This window comes from Homo sapiens, chromosome 13 (assembly GCF_000001405.40).
Source record: "Homo sapiens chromosome 13, GRCh38.p14 Primary Assembly".
NCBI classification, from domain to species: Eukaryota; Metazoa; Chordata; class Mammalia; order Primates; family Hominidae; genus Homo; species Homo sapiens.
The window spans coordinates 43,976,640-43,994,366 of NC_000013.11; the positions used below are offsets into that span (position 1 = coordinate 43,976,640).

A 17,727-nucleotide genomic window follows, 5' to 3' on the forward strand; every position below is an offset into this window, starting at 1 on the left:
CTTTGCAGATGTATCTAAGACCTTGAGAGGAGGAAATGATCCTGGATTTTCCAGGTGGGTATAATCTGGAATCTTTATAATTTGCATAAAGAGCAAAACCTTTATTAAAACTACAGAGAACTAGAGAGGCAGCAGGATGAGAAGGACTCAGCCCACCAATGCTGGCTTTGAAGATAGAGGAAGGGGGCCATGAGCTGGGGAACAACGGCAGCCTCTAGAAGCTGGAAAAGGCAGAGAAATGGATTCTCCCCCTCCAGTCTCCTGAAAAAAACAGTCCTGCCAACACCTTGATATTAGCCCGAAAAGACCTGTGTTGGATGTCCAACCTTCAGAACTGTGAAGATAAGTATTGTTAAAGCTGCCAAGCATGTGGCATAATTTGTTATGGCAGCAATTTAAAATTAATACACGTGGTCAAATGGTCAAAATGACTGGAAGTCACTGAAATGGACTGGGTTTATCTGTCCATAAAAGGTTATTAGTAGAACATCATGCTTCTCATGTGTCTGATCATAGGCTTGAGAACAAGGGCTTGGCAATTGTCAGAAACCAAGAGAGCTCTAAAATGCCAAGAAATTGGAACTAGAAAATATAGTACAGTAACAGTTTCATTCTTGGACTTTACCCCACCAAACCTATACACAATGGGGAATGGCAACTTTTCAAAAAGTTAGGGAGGAGGAGAATAAGCTAGAACAGCAAAACAACAAACAACCCCAAATAAATTGAAGGCAAACCAAACCAAAAACAGATACACACCTCACCAAAGGAGTTTAGATTTTATCCTGAAGACCTCAGAGAGATTCTGGAGAGCCTTAAGCATTTGTAACTTCACTTTGTAAAAGTGAAGTTTTCCATCCAGCTTCTCCCAAAATCTGCACACTAGCTTTCCATTTTAAAATATAGCTTCTGATTGTCTCTTGGATCCTAATTCCACACTCAAACTCCAGACCAGTAGCAACCCTGATTCCTTTTGTATCCTTTCCTTCCTTTTTTTCCCTCCTTCCTCCTTCTCTCCCATTTCTCTTTCTCTTTTTCCCTCCCTCCCTCCCTTCCTTCCTTCCTCACTCCCTCCCTCTCTCTCTCTCTTCCGTCCTTTCTTTCTCTCTTTCTTTCTCTTTTCTTCCTTTCTTTCTCTCCTTCCTTCCTTCCTCCCTCTCTCCCCTCTCCCCTCCCTTCCCTCCCTCCCCCTCCCCCCTCCCTCCCTCTTTTCTTCCTTCCTTTCTTCCTTCCTCCCTCCGTCCCTACCTCTCCCTCCCTCCCTCTCTTTCTTTCTCTCCCTCTCCTTGTCTCTTTCTCCCTCCCTCTCCCTCTCTTTCCTCCGTCCTTCCCTTCCCTTCCTTTTTTTTTCTCTTCTCAGTCATTATGAAAAATAGTGCATGTTCCTAGAAAGTTCTCCAAACATGTGTTTCTGATTTTCCTGACATGTCTTTGTGCTTACTGCCCTCTCTGCCTGAGTTGTCCCCACTCCACCACCACCATGCCCATGCCTGGCAAACTACCACTTATCCTTCACCACCAAGGTTCATTCTCTGACCTTTCTCTAAGTCCCTAGGGTGGATCACTTTCTTCTCTGAGACAGCACTGTATCTTTCCTATTCCTCAACTGTAACACTGTGTTGACATTATTTCTCCCTCTCCTTTTCCATTTTCTTCTATCAGACCCTAAGCTCCCTTTCAAAATGTATGCTGGGTGGCTTAGCATTGTGTCCAGCACATAATAGATATTGATTGAGTGAAAGAAAGAGACTGCCAAGGACCCTTTCTGGAAATTACTGAGGTTGGTATATCCTACACATACAGTTCATCCTATGAAATATAAGATGCAAGTCATCTTCTTAATGCACAGTGATGCTGCCAGCCTAGGGTGGGATTAGCCACCACCACATCCTGGCCCAGACACACTAGTTCTACTCAGACCCTTCCTGTGCCCAGGCTTTAGCAGGGGCCAGAGGGCAGCAGCCATGTCTGGGAAGGGTCAGGAAGGGGAGGCTGGGCATGGCCTTAGGCACCAGGGAGTGGAAGAGCGGGTGGCTGAGAATCCTCCCCAGGGAAGTGGCAGGAGATAGGCCCTCCTGTGGACTAAGGCTCCAAGAAACCAGCACGTGCTCCATTGCCTAATTAGACTTCATTTTAAAAACACAAATTCCAAGATAAAATGGAGAATTTCAAAACGACAACCACAGAGCGTTACGGGGCCCTTGTGAGCATGAGGCCCTGTGAGACTGCACAGGTGGCATGTTCATGAAGCTGGCCCTGGCTGGGAATGTTGTGTGAAAGGTTATCCAGCCCAGCCTTTATCTGTTGCTTGGGTCTGTTTCTTGTTCTGAGTTCTTTCCTGCTTCAGTCTTTGGTTTTTGATGCATTATACTTCATCTTAAAACATTGCTTTCTTTTCCGTGTCAGTAATTACTTTAATAATTCCCTATGTCTGAAATCTTCCAGAGAAAAAGTAGAATAAATGTACTGCTAATTTTCAGGGATAGTGCATTGATATTCTTAATTTAAACAACAAAAAATATTGTTTCATTGACTTTAACTGGGTTGGATTAAATTTTGTCTCCACAATTCCCCACCCTTTGTTTTTATCCTCGAAGGCATGATTTAATTCTCCAAGGGATCTCTTTTGACTTACTAGTTTTCACGGTTTATTTTGAGTGTAAAATTAGAATATCACACTCGTTTGCAAGTCTGAGTCTGAGGAATGAGAATATTATAGGTTGATGCCCTACTTGGAAAAACACATTTCGAACCCCAAAGAGGTGGATATGAGTTTTTTTGTTGGTTGTTTGTATTTTTCAAGATTTGTGATAAATGGCAGAGCTCAAACCCAAATAATCCTACTGAAAACATTTTGGGCTCATATGGACTAATTCTTGTAAAGTCTGTCTTCTAGAAACTTATACTATATGATTTCTCAAAACAGGATCTTGAAATGATAACTTCTCATGGCATAGCTGGTACACTTTGTTCCTGACTTCAAAGAAAAATATAATCTTAAGATGTGTCCAATACCTCTTAAAATACACTCTGACTCATCTGTCAGACTCCAGGCCATGTATTCCACTGTAAATCTGATATCTAAATACACAGGTTGAAGTCTCAGGGGATGTGAACTTGGTTAGAGTCGAACTCTACTTACAATATGCAATCGCCACTGGCTTTCTTTGTCTTTCTGAGAGATTTCTGGCTCATTCAACAAAACTGGGTTGGAAGTATTGGTGAAGAACTCATCAGCTCAAGCCATGTAAAAGGGAAAAGAGGGGGGAATGGACACCTTGAGGGCCAGTAAGACAGACATAAAGCGTATGCCCCTGGAGAGGGCTGTTTTCCATAAGCTGAATCAGGTCTAGAAGTAATTCTCTACTGCTCCCAGTCTCCATTCACCCAGACATCCCAAAGAACACCTTGTTTCACTTACAGAGTGCATGGGAGGGGAAATGATGCAGTAGCTGAAATGATATGGCACTGGAAGGTCATGGTGACAGAAGGAGAAAGGGGGTTTCCAAAATGCTGGCTGGCATCCCCTCATTCAATGGTGTGCTGGAGAAGGCTTGTATTGGCTTAAGAGAACAGATTCTTAACTATATCGATTACCTGAAATTGGCCATGAAAATCACTGTGTACTACTAATCAAGTCTTGTCTGTACCCCCACCTCAAAGTTGACTGGCAGGTCACTGATACTAAGCTTACATTGCCCTCTAGAAATGTTCTCTGGCTACCTCTGATTGCCTGTGGGAATTCCTTTTTGATGTTCTTGTGGCCCTTACCTCTATTTGTCATCATTATGTATCTACCTGCCCCCATTCATGGCCATAGAGGCCATAATGTCTACCATTCAGCAGATGCTTGACAAATGTCCCCTGTATCAATGGGCACATAAAATGCATATTTTTCAGGTGCACATTAAAACTAAGAAAAGATCGATCTTTACTAACGGAATGTTTTTCTTTCCTTTTTTTGTTTATATAACATTTAATGAGCTCCTATACTGTAATTTTAATAGGCCCTGGGGATTTACCAAGTAGCAAGGCATGCTTCTTTTATTAAAGAAGCACATAGTTTACTAAGGAAGACATATATTGCTTTCTCTTTGTATTAATATGTCCTTTCATCTGTTTCTATGTGTTTTTTACATGTTTACATTAGTTGGTTTGCCAAGTTATGATGAAACTCCAATACATACAAGTTTATATACAGAAGAAGATCTGAAGGGCCACATACCAAAACATTAACAGTTTACCTCCGATGTGGAGATAAAATAGGGGAACATAATATTTTTTCTTTGTACTGTTTATACTGTTTGAATTTTTGAGTACATATTATTTTATACTTAAAATATCTAAGAAGAAATTTTAAAAACTTGTGCAGTTAATACAAATTCAAGGATGTATGAAGCAGGGGTCGGGGCATGATGGAGTAGGGGGGATGTTTCAGGATGAAACTGTTCCACCTCAGATCATCAGGCATTAGTTAGATTCCCACAAGGACCATGCAACCTAGATCCCTCACATGCACAGTTCACAATAGGGCTCATGCTCCTATGAGAATCTAATGCCGCCACTGCTCTGACAGGAGGGAAAGCACAGGTGGTGATGCTCAGCGGCCCGCCATTTACCTCCTGCTGTGAGGCCTGTTTCCTAATAGGCCAGGGACTGGTATGAGTCAACCATCCGGGGGTTGGGGACCCCTGCTGTAGGTAATGAGAATTACCTGGAGAATTTTAACCGAAGGGTGATGAGATTCAATCTATATTTTTGGATGATAACAGATAAAATTGAGAACTAGGTTACACTGGTGAGAGGCAGACTGAGCTTAATGATATATTATCATTTGGTCTTTATATAACAAGACTGCTTCTCTACCTAGTTTTGGGTGGGAATAACTTGCACTGGAAGTTCCTAGGTTGTGGTACACAAGTCCTTAAGTGGCTATAAAAACAGACAGTCCAGACACTCAGTCTCTCCTTCTTTCAGCTCTAATGTCATTGCCCTCTTGTATCCTGGCATCAATTAAGTGTTGGCAAGGGATAAATTCAGTCTTGCTTTGAGTCATGTGGGTGGACAATGGTGGTGAATGGAAAAAAGCTCCTAGCAGAGGTTGGGCTTGCTGGAAATACAGAGATGGGAGTTCTCGGTTCCAAGAATAGTTAATGGTGTCAGGATATAGGCTACAAATTGTCATTTGAGGGTGGCCTGGCTTATACTTGGTGGCACTGGCTTCAAACCAACTGACCTTTGAGTTATAAAGACGTCAATTCCTTCATGTGGTGACTTTCATAGGTGCTATCTCCTGTAGGGTAGGTTCAGGTGAAAATGAATGGAAGGTAGGTGAGAGTCCATGGGGTACCACCCACTGGATGTGAAGCACCCCACATGGAGTAAGGTGACTTGTTAGATCCCTCCAGCAGAAGAGGCAGGCAGGGAGGTGAAGCATGATTTGTGTATTGATTTGACTCTGCCTGCTTTTGTTGCTAAACACTGCATGCTGTCCAGGAACATGGAAGTGGGGCTGGGTGAAACCTTCTGCTTTGACAGTCTTTTCCTGACCGGAGCAATCCTTAAAGGGAAGGTCACTTCCTGTCCATTGCTCAGTTAAGATCACTTTAGACCATAATAAAGTGAGGCCCTTGTTATCATCCATAGACATGGGTTTTGTTTTGTTTTTTCATTATATACCCAGCCAGGTGCTAGCACAGGCCTTCCCAGAAACAATGGGTCAGGACCAGTTCTAGTGTCTTCCACATCATAGAAATTAAACAACCACCTCATTTTCTGTTTCTAACTCAAATCTAGGGCCTGTCTACTGGCTTTAGGTCTTTCTACCTTGGTGATACCTGTAATTTGAACATTAATGCTCTCTGTCCCTGGGAGCTTGATTGGTATTATTCTAAAAAAATCTTCTCAACTCATGCATTTATTCATTCAACAGGTACTGGATTTTTTGAGTGCTAATGTGAGTCAGACATTCTGTGAGACATTAGGAATATAATAGTAAACAAAGAGAACCTTAGGCCTGCTGTAATGTTGCTTAAAGCCCAGGGTAGGATTGAAATACTAAATGAAGAATAACAATGTAAATGCAAAGCCAAACTGTGATAAGGCAATGATGGAGTTCTACAAGGTAAAATTACATAAAAGAAGAATCGTCTAGTGAGGGAAGTCTGAGGAGGCTTCCCTCAGGAGGTGATAACCCCACCAAGCTCTTCCTTCAGGAGTAGAAGGGCCTAGGTTTCTGGGCAGGTTGATCTACTTCCTACTAGAAAGTGAAGCAATATTTCCCAGGTCACACTAAAAAATGGGAGGTAAAGGGGTCCCATCAGATTATAGTTCTAGTTCAATGGGGCTTACTCGCCCTTATTCACATTACTAAGGGATACTCAAGTGACTCTTTGAAGGACAAAAAGATAAGCTTCTCCAGAATAAAAAGAAAGCCAATAGCTATAGCCTGCTAAATGTATTAAAATGTCACTTAATATTTATAGAATATCACTGAAGTGTAGAGTCCCTTCCTGACACCTACATCTTGTGGGGCCAAATAGCCATTTTCCACTTACTTTGGGTACTTTCCCCACTCTGAAGGTTCTGTTCTATAGCCAGCCTGCTAAAACCTGATTCCAATCACTTTTTCCAATTTTTCAGGGTCTCTTAGGATTTTTGAACAGCGGTTATTTCTTCTTTTCTTCTCACAAAGACACTTGCAATAAGTTGTCCATGACTAGAACTGATTCAGGTATTTAGTTATAATGTTGAAGAAATGTTGAAGTGTAAATATAGTAGTTAAGGGAAAAATTCTGCTTTCTGAAACTCCCAGGATGGAATTTCCAGCCATGAGCAGGGTACCATTTGGGATTTCTGGGTGGGGAGTCTGACAAGCTCACTTCTCAGGAACAAAGAGCACTCGCCGCCTGGTAGTCGTTATTAACAGCTGTGTGACTGGGCCCCACGGCGACGTGTTGCAAACTTCTTTTCAGAATTTCCCCAGCTAAGAGGAGATTCATGAGTCAGAATGTTGGGAACTGCACAGGCAAGTACCTTGATTTTGAGGAAAATTTGTCTGGCTCGTGAATTATAAAAATAAATAAGTGCCATATATTTAGAAAGAGGTACTGGATGTGTGGATTTGGAGAAATTGAAATGTATACAAATATACATACACCAACTCCTTCTTCTCCAAAGAGACCCCCTCAAAATGATGGCTTCCAGAGCACATGAATAAAAATGATTGCAATGAGTTTAAAATACTTAACATTATTTTACAAATCATTAAATGCTGTACAAGTCATAACCCAGTGGACTCACAAATTAAACAGGGCTGACTGATAATAAAACAACAAATTAAGCAACACAGGGGAGTATCTGACTGTTGTTCAGAAATTAACCAACTCTAACATGTAGGAGTAATTAAAATAATTCCAAAATAATGGAGCTTATTAATGTTGGAAACTGGAAGAGACAGTCCAATCGTATTTATTTAAAATGCTTATACTTTGTACTTAAATTGTGTATTTTTTCATGTCTATTGTTTCTTGTGAGCATCATTACAACCTCTTTTTTTACATGTTGACATGAGTTTATTTCGTGGTTTTGATCACAAACAAAACATGTTCATCATGAGTTACTCAAAGAGGTATAAGGAGAGATATAAAATTAAAAGCAAAGTTCACAGGGAAATCCCAACTGAGATAATTATTCTTAAGAATTTTGTCAACATCCTTGCAGACACTTCTAGGCATATATGCAGTAGATATCACTTAAATAATTTTGCGCTTGCTACAAGGTTAAGACATTGTAGTATATGCATAGTCAATCTCTTTTTCTCCTACTCTCTGGAAAGGAAATTTTGTCCACTTAGCATTTTCTTCTTTCTCCACCTTATTTTTCGGAGTATGGTAATCAGTGAAGAAAAAAAACAAAGGAAGAAGGAAGAGGGACAAAAGAGAAGTGGCTGATCTGTTTGAGTATCATTGTGATGTCTTTGGTTGAGAGTAGAAAAGCATATTGGGGAGGAGAAAGCCTTCAGGAGCTATTACAGTGTGAGAATTAGAGAACAAGATGAAAAAGGTGGGATACAGAGACTATTTTAAGATGTGGTGCTGTGGGTTAGGAATTGTAGGTTCTTTAATGTTTTCTGAAAATGGAGAGCCAAGGCTGAAATTACTCTGTAATGCCTTTTTGTTGCTGGGTTGTTTCTGTGAATGTGACACTGGGCTGAATTGAACCACAGTGAAATCTGGAATTTATTTGATTTGCACATAAATGGGATTATATCAACCATACTGCTTTGTAATTCCTTTTGTCTTGAAAATATGTGATGGAGCTTCTATTTGAGTCAACCAATATGAATTACATGATTCTTTTCAGTGGATGCATAAAGTCTCTTGTATGAATACCTCGTATCTTTTTGAACTAGTCTCATGTTGGTGGACATTTTGGTTGTTTCTAATTGTGATGAACATCTTGTGTATACTTGCATATTTATGTAACTACCTCATTGGGATAGATTCTTGGATATAAATTTTCTGCATGAAATGGTATGTACGTTTTACATTTTATTACATAACACCAGCAAAAAGTCATGCTGATTTATATTCCTCTCACTGTATATTAAAGTCCCATATCCACAAAATCTCATTCTTATCATTTCTTATTAGTTGGTGAAGATTAGCACAATTTTGACAACATATCTACAGTATACACATGAAGAAGCTGAAACCCAGAGAGATTGAGGGATTCTTGCCTAAGGTGTTAGAACTGATAGTTCTAGTTCATCGGCCTCTTTAGAGGTGTCATTGCCTGGAAGATCCAGATGATAATATGTCCATCAGGCCTTACAGAAACCACCCACAGGGAAAAGGAAGATACTTAAAACTGGCAAATGAAACAATTTCCAGTTCAATCCATCTGTGTAACAAGGGCATACACACCACTGTGACGAGATGATGTGTGTAAAAGTGCTTTGTAAATCACTGGAGATTGAGGCACTGTTTGGGAAAACAATTACCCCTTTCACCTGGATAATTAGGACTGTGTATTTAGCTAATAGACAGGAATTATAAATGTTTGCTGTTTGACCTTGCATTTGAGTGTCATTTTTATCATCTGCAACTCGATAGCTAAATTCCTAGTAAATGAAGCATTTATTATAAAAAGTGCTGACACAGTACTAAATCTGGACCACTTTTCCTTGTGATAGCCTGATGATTAAAGGCCAGAATGTCCAATTCTGTGCTGTCTCATAGCAAATGTACTATAGGCAGTGTTCTTCCGCTGTTAATCCGTGTCCCCAGGTTGCCTCTGACCTTGACCCAGGAGGCCTGTTGACTCCATGCTCATTTATACTCATTTTGTCTCTAGAAACACTGATCCAGACAGCTCTTTCTGAGTTTATTTTACTTGCTCCGGTCCTGCTAGACTCTTAAGGATTTCAGGCACCAGAACAGCTGTGTTTAACCTTGTCCATTAAGTCCTTACCCAAGAAACCCGTCTGAATTGGTGATGTTTCTGAAAACACAAATGAGGCCAAATTACAAGTGGAGGAAGCATCTGGGTTAAAATAAACTGTCACCAGACAAAAGCTATCTCCTTCCATTTTCTTTTTTTGTAAGAAAAACAGGTTACTAGCTATAATCTTATTCTTAGGTAAAATGTGCTGTTCTAGTCTTTTTAAAAGCACTTGCCTCAGAATTTCTACTCAGCAATAAGAAGAGGGGGCAGACCCCGTTATCTGCTTGTAGTAATAAAGATCCACATTTATCTTCTGCAGTTCTGGCTTTGGTATTCTTACTTTGAACTGGAATAGCACAGGAAAAGTGGATTGAGGACCGCACAATTGGAGCATGACTTGTGTTGCCTGGTTACTGAGACTCTCCAGAGATTAGATTGTCAGGGTACTTAGATGCACAGAAAAGCAAACAAACAAACCTCCTACCTTCCTGGTAATTCTTTTATGAGGACAGGGCAGCTTCTAAAATTGGAAACCTAGATTAGGGGAGAAAATAGTTTCTATTAGCAGAAGAGGATGAATAGTAATTATCTTCAACGCTGTCAGGTGGCCTCACCATTTGTGAGTCATGGTCAGTGGGAAGTGGCCACACTCAGTATGAAGGGTTTCATGTTGCTTTAATTCTGGGGACCCTCAGATGATGCTGCACAGGCCTGCTGATCTTCAGAAGCTGCTCTACGCATCTGCAATAAAAGAGAAGACCTTCTAAGTCACTCACTGGTTTTGAAAGAAGTAACATAGAAGCAGGCTTTTAAGTATCCCTAAGGAGGGCACTATAGGATTTGTATTGGAAATGGATCTGAAGACTTAGGAGAGACTAGAAGATTAGAAATGCAGAGAGGTCAATTTGCTTCCACCAGCTAGTTTATAACTAAGTGTTGGCCACATTATCTGCTTTTAGCTCTGTGTCTTCATTGCCCTTCTCAGTGTTCTTTTTCCCTAGGTCACAGAACGTTTTCCTGAATCGGATTCTGGGTTAAAGCTGCCAGTAGGAAGAATTCACATGAGATTTCAAAGGTGGAAGAGAAGGAGAAGGTGTTTTTTTCTTGCAACAGTTTGGCTGGGGAGCTGAGATCTTCACTGAGGGCTTCCTTTGGCTCCGGGTTCCCGTGGACAGGCAGCCGATGTCATCAGTGGTGGCTTCTCTGTGATCACTATACCACCAGGTCTCCTAAAGTGGCCTTCTTGACCTTTGCCTCCCCAGCTCTTTCAATGGTTATGTGAAACTCTAATTATGTACATTAAATATCTTTCAGCTCATAATACATAGAGTCATTTCCCTCCCCACATATGGAGTAATTCTGAATGACATAAAGGCTTAAGCACGAAGGCCCAAAACCTTGGTCACCTATGTTGATAAATCTGAATTTTGATTAGCGCCAAATTATAGACCAATATATGTCTTACAGACGTTAAAAAACATATGGTATAATTTCATTTTTATAAAGTTCAAAAGCAAACTAATTTGTGATTTTAGAAGTAATGATGAGTGTTTATGTTTGGAAAAGGCTGAGCAGGGTGGGGACTTGATGGGCCATGAGAGAGGCTTGAGATGCTAGTAATACTTGATTTCTTCATCAAGGTTGTGCTTAGATGGTTGAGTTCTTTTTGTGATAATTCATTAAGCGAGATCATCATAATATGCCATTTTTCTTTCTTTTTTTTTTTTTTGAGATGGAGTTTCACTCTTGTTGCCCAGGCTGGAGTGTAATGGCACGATCTCGGCTCACTGCAACCTTCACCTCCCAGATTCAAGCAATTCTCCTGCCTCAGCCTCCCAAGTAGCTGGGATTACAGGAATGTGCCACCACACTAGGCTAATTTTGTATTTTTAGTAGAGACAGTGTTTTTCCATGTTGGTCAGGCTGGTCTCAAACTCCCGACTTCAGGTGATCTGCCCACCTCAGCCTCCCGAAGTGCTTGGATTACAGGTGTGAGCCACCGTGCCTGGCCAATATGCCACTTTTCTTTATATATATGTTAAAATTTAATAGAAAATTAATTTTAAAAAATTTAAGGCTGCTAGGAAATTTCATTTTCCTTGTGCCAATCCTAAAATGACAATTTAATTATTGAATCCAATCTTACTCTTTGACAGATGATACAACTGAGACAGCAAGAGACTAAGTAACCTGCTCAATGTCAACCTTCAAGCCCAGTTTTCCATCCATTTATAACCTGGTTTAATGTGAGAATTTTAAAAATCAATTTTCCTAGTTATCTTTTTTCCCCATTTTTTTTTCTATTTATAGTCAAATGGAAACAAACTTTGCATAAAAATAGATGGGAAGATTGACTCCAAGCTAATTTGTCATCTCAGGCATTACTTAAGAAATGTCAAAGTCTCTAGTGAAAAGATTTATGAGTAATATCGGTAAAGAATGTGCCAAACTTGCCAAGGTATTTAGCATTTAGGAGTAGGAAGCAGAAGAGCTGCTTCAGCAGTGATTTGGATGTGACTGTAAATCAAGCAAAAAAAGCCACATGTTGTAAAATGTCACCAAGAAAGGTAAGTTGGGTATTGCTTAAAAACTCACACCAGTTTTGTCCATTTGTCCATTTCCCACAGCTTCTGCTGCCATTGAGCCACCTAGGTAGTCATCCCTGAATTCCTCAGGCCTAAGAGGCCCATCAGCTTAGCATTACTTTGCCTGCTGTTCTTCCCCAGAGAATATGGGCTGACTGGTAAATGCCCCTCAAGTGAACCCTATGTTCCAGGGAGTTCCACCAAAGGAGGGCTACTTCCCCGGAGAGCTGAGGATTTTATAGTTAACAAAGGACAAGAAGGTTCTTTCTGCAGAGTGCTTCTCCCGGCTCCCCCCGGCCCCACCACCAGGGCCCAAATCTTAATATATTTTACGACATTCTAGGTCCATTACAACACACACATGCTTGTAGTCTTTTAACCCATTACTTTCTTTTTTTTTCTTTTTGTTTTTGAGATGGAGTCTTGCTCTGTCGCCCAGGCTGGAGTGCAGTGGCGCGATCTCGGCTCACTGCAACTTCCACCTCCTGGGCTCAAGTGATTCTCCTGTCTCAGCCTCCCAAGTAGTTGGGATTACAGGCGCCCACCACCATGCCCAGCTAATTTTTTTTTGTATTTTAGTAGAGATGGGGTTTCACCATATTGCCCAGGCTGGTCTCAAACTCCTGAGCTCAGGCAATCCACCCGCCTTGGCCTCCCAAAGTGCTAGGATTACAGGTGTGAGCCACCCCACCTGGCCAACCCATTACTTTCAAAAGTCAGCAATAGTGTGTGCTTTTGGCTTTTGCCTTTGCTTTCTCTGAACTTGCATCCAGCACAATTCAGAAAAGACAACTTTTCGCAATCTATTTTTTCGGTATACATGTGTTAAAATTTCACTATATGCCTGTCAGTGGGCTAAGTGCTGAGGACACATAATGAATAACAAACAGTCTCTGTCCCCAAGAAGTTCATGACTGGTTGCAGAACAGTCACACAAAATAATAGTTTAGCTTCAGGAATAAATTTTGGTGCCGCTAAAGCATATCATGTAGGTCCTAACTAAGAATTTTAAAATTCTGTTTTTTTGATAGTCTTTGCTGGTGACCTTCCAATATGAGACTTACTGCTATTTTGGATAAAATGATTTTTTTGAGAATTCCTCCTGCTTGACTTCATTTAACTGTACCAAATTTGGGCATCGTTTGGGAGCATCTCAAGTTCAGATGAAGAATAGAATATACATATAAGAAATAGGCTGAGACTTCTTATATGAAATTGATACTGACTAGAAGTCCTAGGAGTAGGGAATTTTATTGCAAGAAGCTAGAACTAAAACTGAGATTTGAAAAGAAATTTATAAAAACACTTCTATTTCTGAGCTGACCTTAAAATATATTTCATTGTGGGGTGTCCTAGAGTCCATCTCTGCTACCCGGCTCCATCCAGATGCTGCCCACAACCATCCTGGGACAGTCCAGGGTCTGGCAGAGGAAATCACATGGACTTCAACCCAAAAAGCCATAGCCAGAAGGGCTGGGAGCCTCTTTTATTATGGGTAACACTGAGGAAATGGCCCAGATCACCCTTGAATTGTCACTGTGATGAAAGCAAGACTCTGTCCTGGACTTGTAGATACTACGAGGGCGGGGGCATGGATATGTTTTCCCTACCGGCATACAGTAAACTAGACTCCTTCCTTTGAGATACCTATGAACTCTCAGAGAACCTAGAAAGTGGGACAAAGAAGAAATGGAGATTTGAAGTAGAATAGGCTGGATTTCTGAACATTTTGTGATGACGGGACTGTGAAATCCTGACCATTGCACTTGGGGGATAAAGGGATAGCCTAGTTTTATCACAAACTTAGGAAGTTAAAAATAGTTACTAAAATTAGAAGGATAGCATATGTTCTTCAAAACTAGAACCTTAAGTGGTGGCTCAGTAATACTCTCAAGTTCCACTGCCACCTAAGCTTCATGTAAATATAGCTGCCTTAAAGGTATACCATCCTGTATTTCTTTGCCTGACAGCTTTGCTATTTTTCCACGATAAAATTGATACAGCACAGAATTGTCCATACTGTTGGTCTAAAAGTCAAAAAACCTGGATCTAGCCCCAGTTTGACTTCTAGCCAGCAATGTGATACTAAGCAAGTTACTTAGCTTCATCTAAAGAGCTTGTTAAAAATTTAGGTGCCTGGGGCTCTAGATACACACTATTTGAATGGGAAATGTCATTGAAGAACACTGTTAATCTGTATATTTAACAAACACCTGGGTGATTCTTACTATCAAAGGACCACTAGATTTAATACCTACGTTCTGCTAGTAGATATGTTCACCTTCCTAAAGAAAGGCACCAGAAATCTTTGTTAAATAACAGGACACCCAGAGGTCAAATAGTGGACTTTGCTTCCGTTGGTTGACATCGGAGTAGAGCAAATGTCATTTTCTTGCATCAGCTTCTTTAATAAATGGCCAATGACTTTCTGACAATAAACAATGGGGATTATTTTTTAAATCTCACTTGGATTTGAAGTGAAAAAAACTTGAAGTCCTCCACAAATACATGTTTACCAAGTATCAATGTTTCAACAAACCATTGAGATTTAATTTGCACCTTAATATTATTCTTCCATGTCACAAACAGTTTAACCTGCAGATTTTTGTGGAAATGAGAATCTGAAACCCAGGAATAGGGAGTGGGTGGGAGGCAATTTCACAGGGTCTAGCAGATAAATACTGGCATGTTAACCCACATTTGCAGTGTGAAGAAACATTATTCACTGAGGTTGAACTAAAAAACAGTATTATTTCCCCACACATTTCTCCTGATCACTTTTCTGGAATGGTCATTTGTGCATCTTGTGCTGAGAGTGTGAATCCAAAGAATAGACTTTCTCTGCGGGTGACTGAAAAAGGAAAGCGTGGCAATTGTCATAGGCACTTCCATCTAAGGAGACTGATAGCATTCTTTTCTGCTAAAGAAATAAGAAAAAAACAAGAGAAATATGTAAAATTTATTGTTTTTAAGCTCACTTTGTCACATGCACACCTGTGCATGCCTATGTATGTGCTCACCCATGTGTGTATGAATGTGTTTGTGCACACTGCAAATGTGAACTAAGCTGAGGTTGGCCTCCTCCAGATTACAACAGGAGGCCTTGAGCATTCCCCACTTACCCTGGCAAGTGAGTGCATGAGGATGCAGGGCAATGCCTGGCAAATTGCCGCGTGCTCTTTTCCCTGATATTAGCCTGGCTGGTGTGCCAGGCCCTGGGGAAGTGCTGTTACAGGCACTGAAGGCTACCCCTGTGAAGCCTCTCAGGCTGATGGATGGGAGTGAGTCTCAAAGATCTGTCAATCCCGCCTGTCAGAAGCCTGCCAAATGAAAGATATGCCAGGCTGACTCAACAAAAAGCTCAGCATCACCCAGCAGAAATGGCTGCTGAAGGAAGTGAAGAAAGATAGAATGGTGGGGGGTTGGGGGTGGGGAGAGGACACCAATAGCTCTGGTTTTACATAGGAGGAACCTGTTTGACTTGTTAGGTCTGATTTCTGTGAACCCGCAGTTTTTCTTGGTGTCATCTTAATTATCTTCTGTGCAAAGAAAAAAAGGCAGTGAGTGGCAATAATTAATTTGCATTGTCAATTGATTTTTTTTTCTTTCTAGGAATTCTTCTCACTCAAAAGCCATATTATATAACCATCTGTTTTTCCCCAAAGATGAATTCTGTTAGGTTTATTCATTTCTGTCTCTTCAGAAGATATATTAACATTGCCAATATTGAGCATCTGTGTGTGTGAGAGCAGAGAGAGAGATTGAGGGAGAGATTTGGTGGTTTTTCCCTTTTTAAACAGTTTTGTGTCCCTTGACACCATTTCTCTTGCTTTCTGGTTTCCAAACTCCAGTGGCCATTCTCACTTAGGAACAGATGCTATGCAAAAATCAGAGCCCAAACGTATCTTACTCTGAGGCTTAGATGGGAAAGAGAACCTTTCTCAAGGTGAAGATGAGGAATTCATGCAAATCAAAATTTCAGAGAAAGAGGTCTGCGTTCTATTCTTGCTGGCACTATCCTTAGAAGGCACATGAGTTATCCGCTCAGTTTTTACTTCTTTTCTTAGAAAATGGAGAGAGTGGTGCATCCTCCCTTTTTGGGGGGAAAAAAGAGGCAAGAACAAAGGAACACAGTCATTTTCTGCTTTTCTACTTTTCTGATTTTGTCTTTTTGCTTATTTCATTCTCTGATAAAGGACCAGTATTCTCACCTCCTTTATCCCTTTATTCAACAGTTTCTGCTAATTTCTGAATAGGCAAAGAAAGTATTTGCACATGTACAATCGAGGGCAGTGGGCATGCTCGGCAAGTACTTGGTCCATGGTGTTCTACTCCAAGACTGTCTTCTGGAGTAAGCTCTGTCCAAAGTTAGGAGGAGGGTGGCTGTTTGGAAAATGATATAAAAATTGGCTTACAAAAGCAATTGCAACAAAAGCAAAAATTGACAAATGGGATCTAATTAAACTAAAGAGCTCCTGCACAGCAAAACAAACTATCAACAGAGTGAACAGACAACCTATAGAATAGGAGAAAGTTTTTGCAAACTATGCATCCAACAAAGGATCTAATATCCAACATCTATAAGGAACTTAAACAAATTTACAAGAAAAAAAGCCAAACAACTCCATTAAAAAGTGGGCAAGGATATAAACACACTTTTCAAAAGAAGACATACATATGGTCAACAATCATTTTTTTAAAAAAGCTTAACATCACTAATCATTGGAGAAATGCAAATAAAAACCACAATGATATATTATCTCATACCAAGCAGAATGGCTATTATTAAAAAATCAAAAAATATCATGCTGGTGAGGATGTGCAGGAAAAGGAACACTTATACACTGTTGGTGGAAGTGTAAACTAGTTCAACCATCGTGGAAGACAGTGTAGCGATTCCCCAAAGACCTAAAGAAAGAAATGACATTCCACCTAGCAATCCCATTACTGGGTATATACCCAAAGGAATATAAATTGTTCTGTGATAAAGACTCATGCATATGCTCACTTCAGCACTATTCACAATAACAAAGACATGGAGTCAACCTAAATGCCCATTAGTGATAGTCTGGACAAAGAAGATGAGGTGCATATACACCATGGAATACTATGCAGCCATAAAAAGAATGAGATCGTGTCATTTGCAAAGACATGGATGGAACTGGAGGCCATTATCCGTAGCAAGCTAACACAGGAACAGAAAACCAAGTACAGCATGTTCTCACTTATAGGTTGGAGCTAAATGATGAGAACACATGAACACATAGAGGGGAAATGTGTTCACCCAGCAGAAATGGCTGGGGAACAATACACACTGGGGTCTACTGGAGGGTGGAGAGTGAGAGGACGGAGAGGATCAGGAAAAATAATTAATGGTACTAGGCTTAACACCTGGATGATGAAATAATCTGTACAACAAACCCCCATGACACAAGTTTACCTGTGTAACAAACCTGCACATGTACCCCTGAATATCAAATTACTAAGGAAGAGAAAAAAGTACCTGAATAAAAGGAGCAATACAAAAAGTAAAATAAAAAGTGGCTTAAAACTGACTTCTCCAAGCCTCCCTCACAGTCCCTTCATCCTGTAGTATTTGCCCCCAAAGACACTGGATCCTCCTACCTTCTTCACACTCTTGCCCCAGTGAACTCCTAGAGCAGGGTGGGAGGCAGAGTTCCATGGCAGCCACCAC

General features: G+C 40.6%; 1 long non-coding RNA gene across 5 annotated transcripts in view; it reads right to left on the reverse strand.

Moving 5' to 3' along the window:
• Nucleotides 1–9,938: 9,938 nt before the first annotated feature.
• LOC105370182 (uncharacterized) overlaps nucleotides 9,939–17,727 on the reverse strand; it is a 29,035-nt gene continuing 21,246 nt past the window's right edge. For 3 of the 5 annotated variants that reach the window (XR_007063775.1, XR_941918.3, XR_007063774.1), the window contains 2 exons: nucleotides 10,062–10,188; nucleotides 9,939–9,981 (listed from right to left, as the gene is read on the reverse strand). This is a non-coding gene — a long non-coding RNA (uncharacterized LOC105370182). Of the gene's footprint in view, nucleotides 9,982–10,061; nucleotides 10,189–16,243; nucleotides 16,416–17,727 lie in introns of those variants that run through there. The other 2 variants (XR_007063776.1, XR_941920.3) reach the window with 2 other exon arrangements.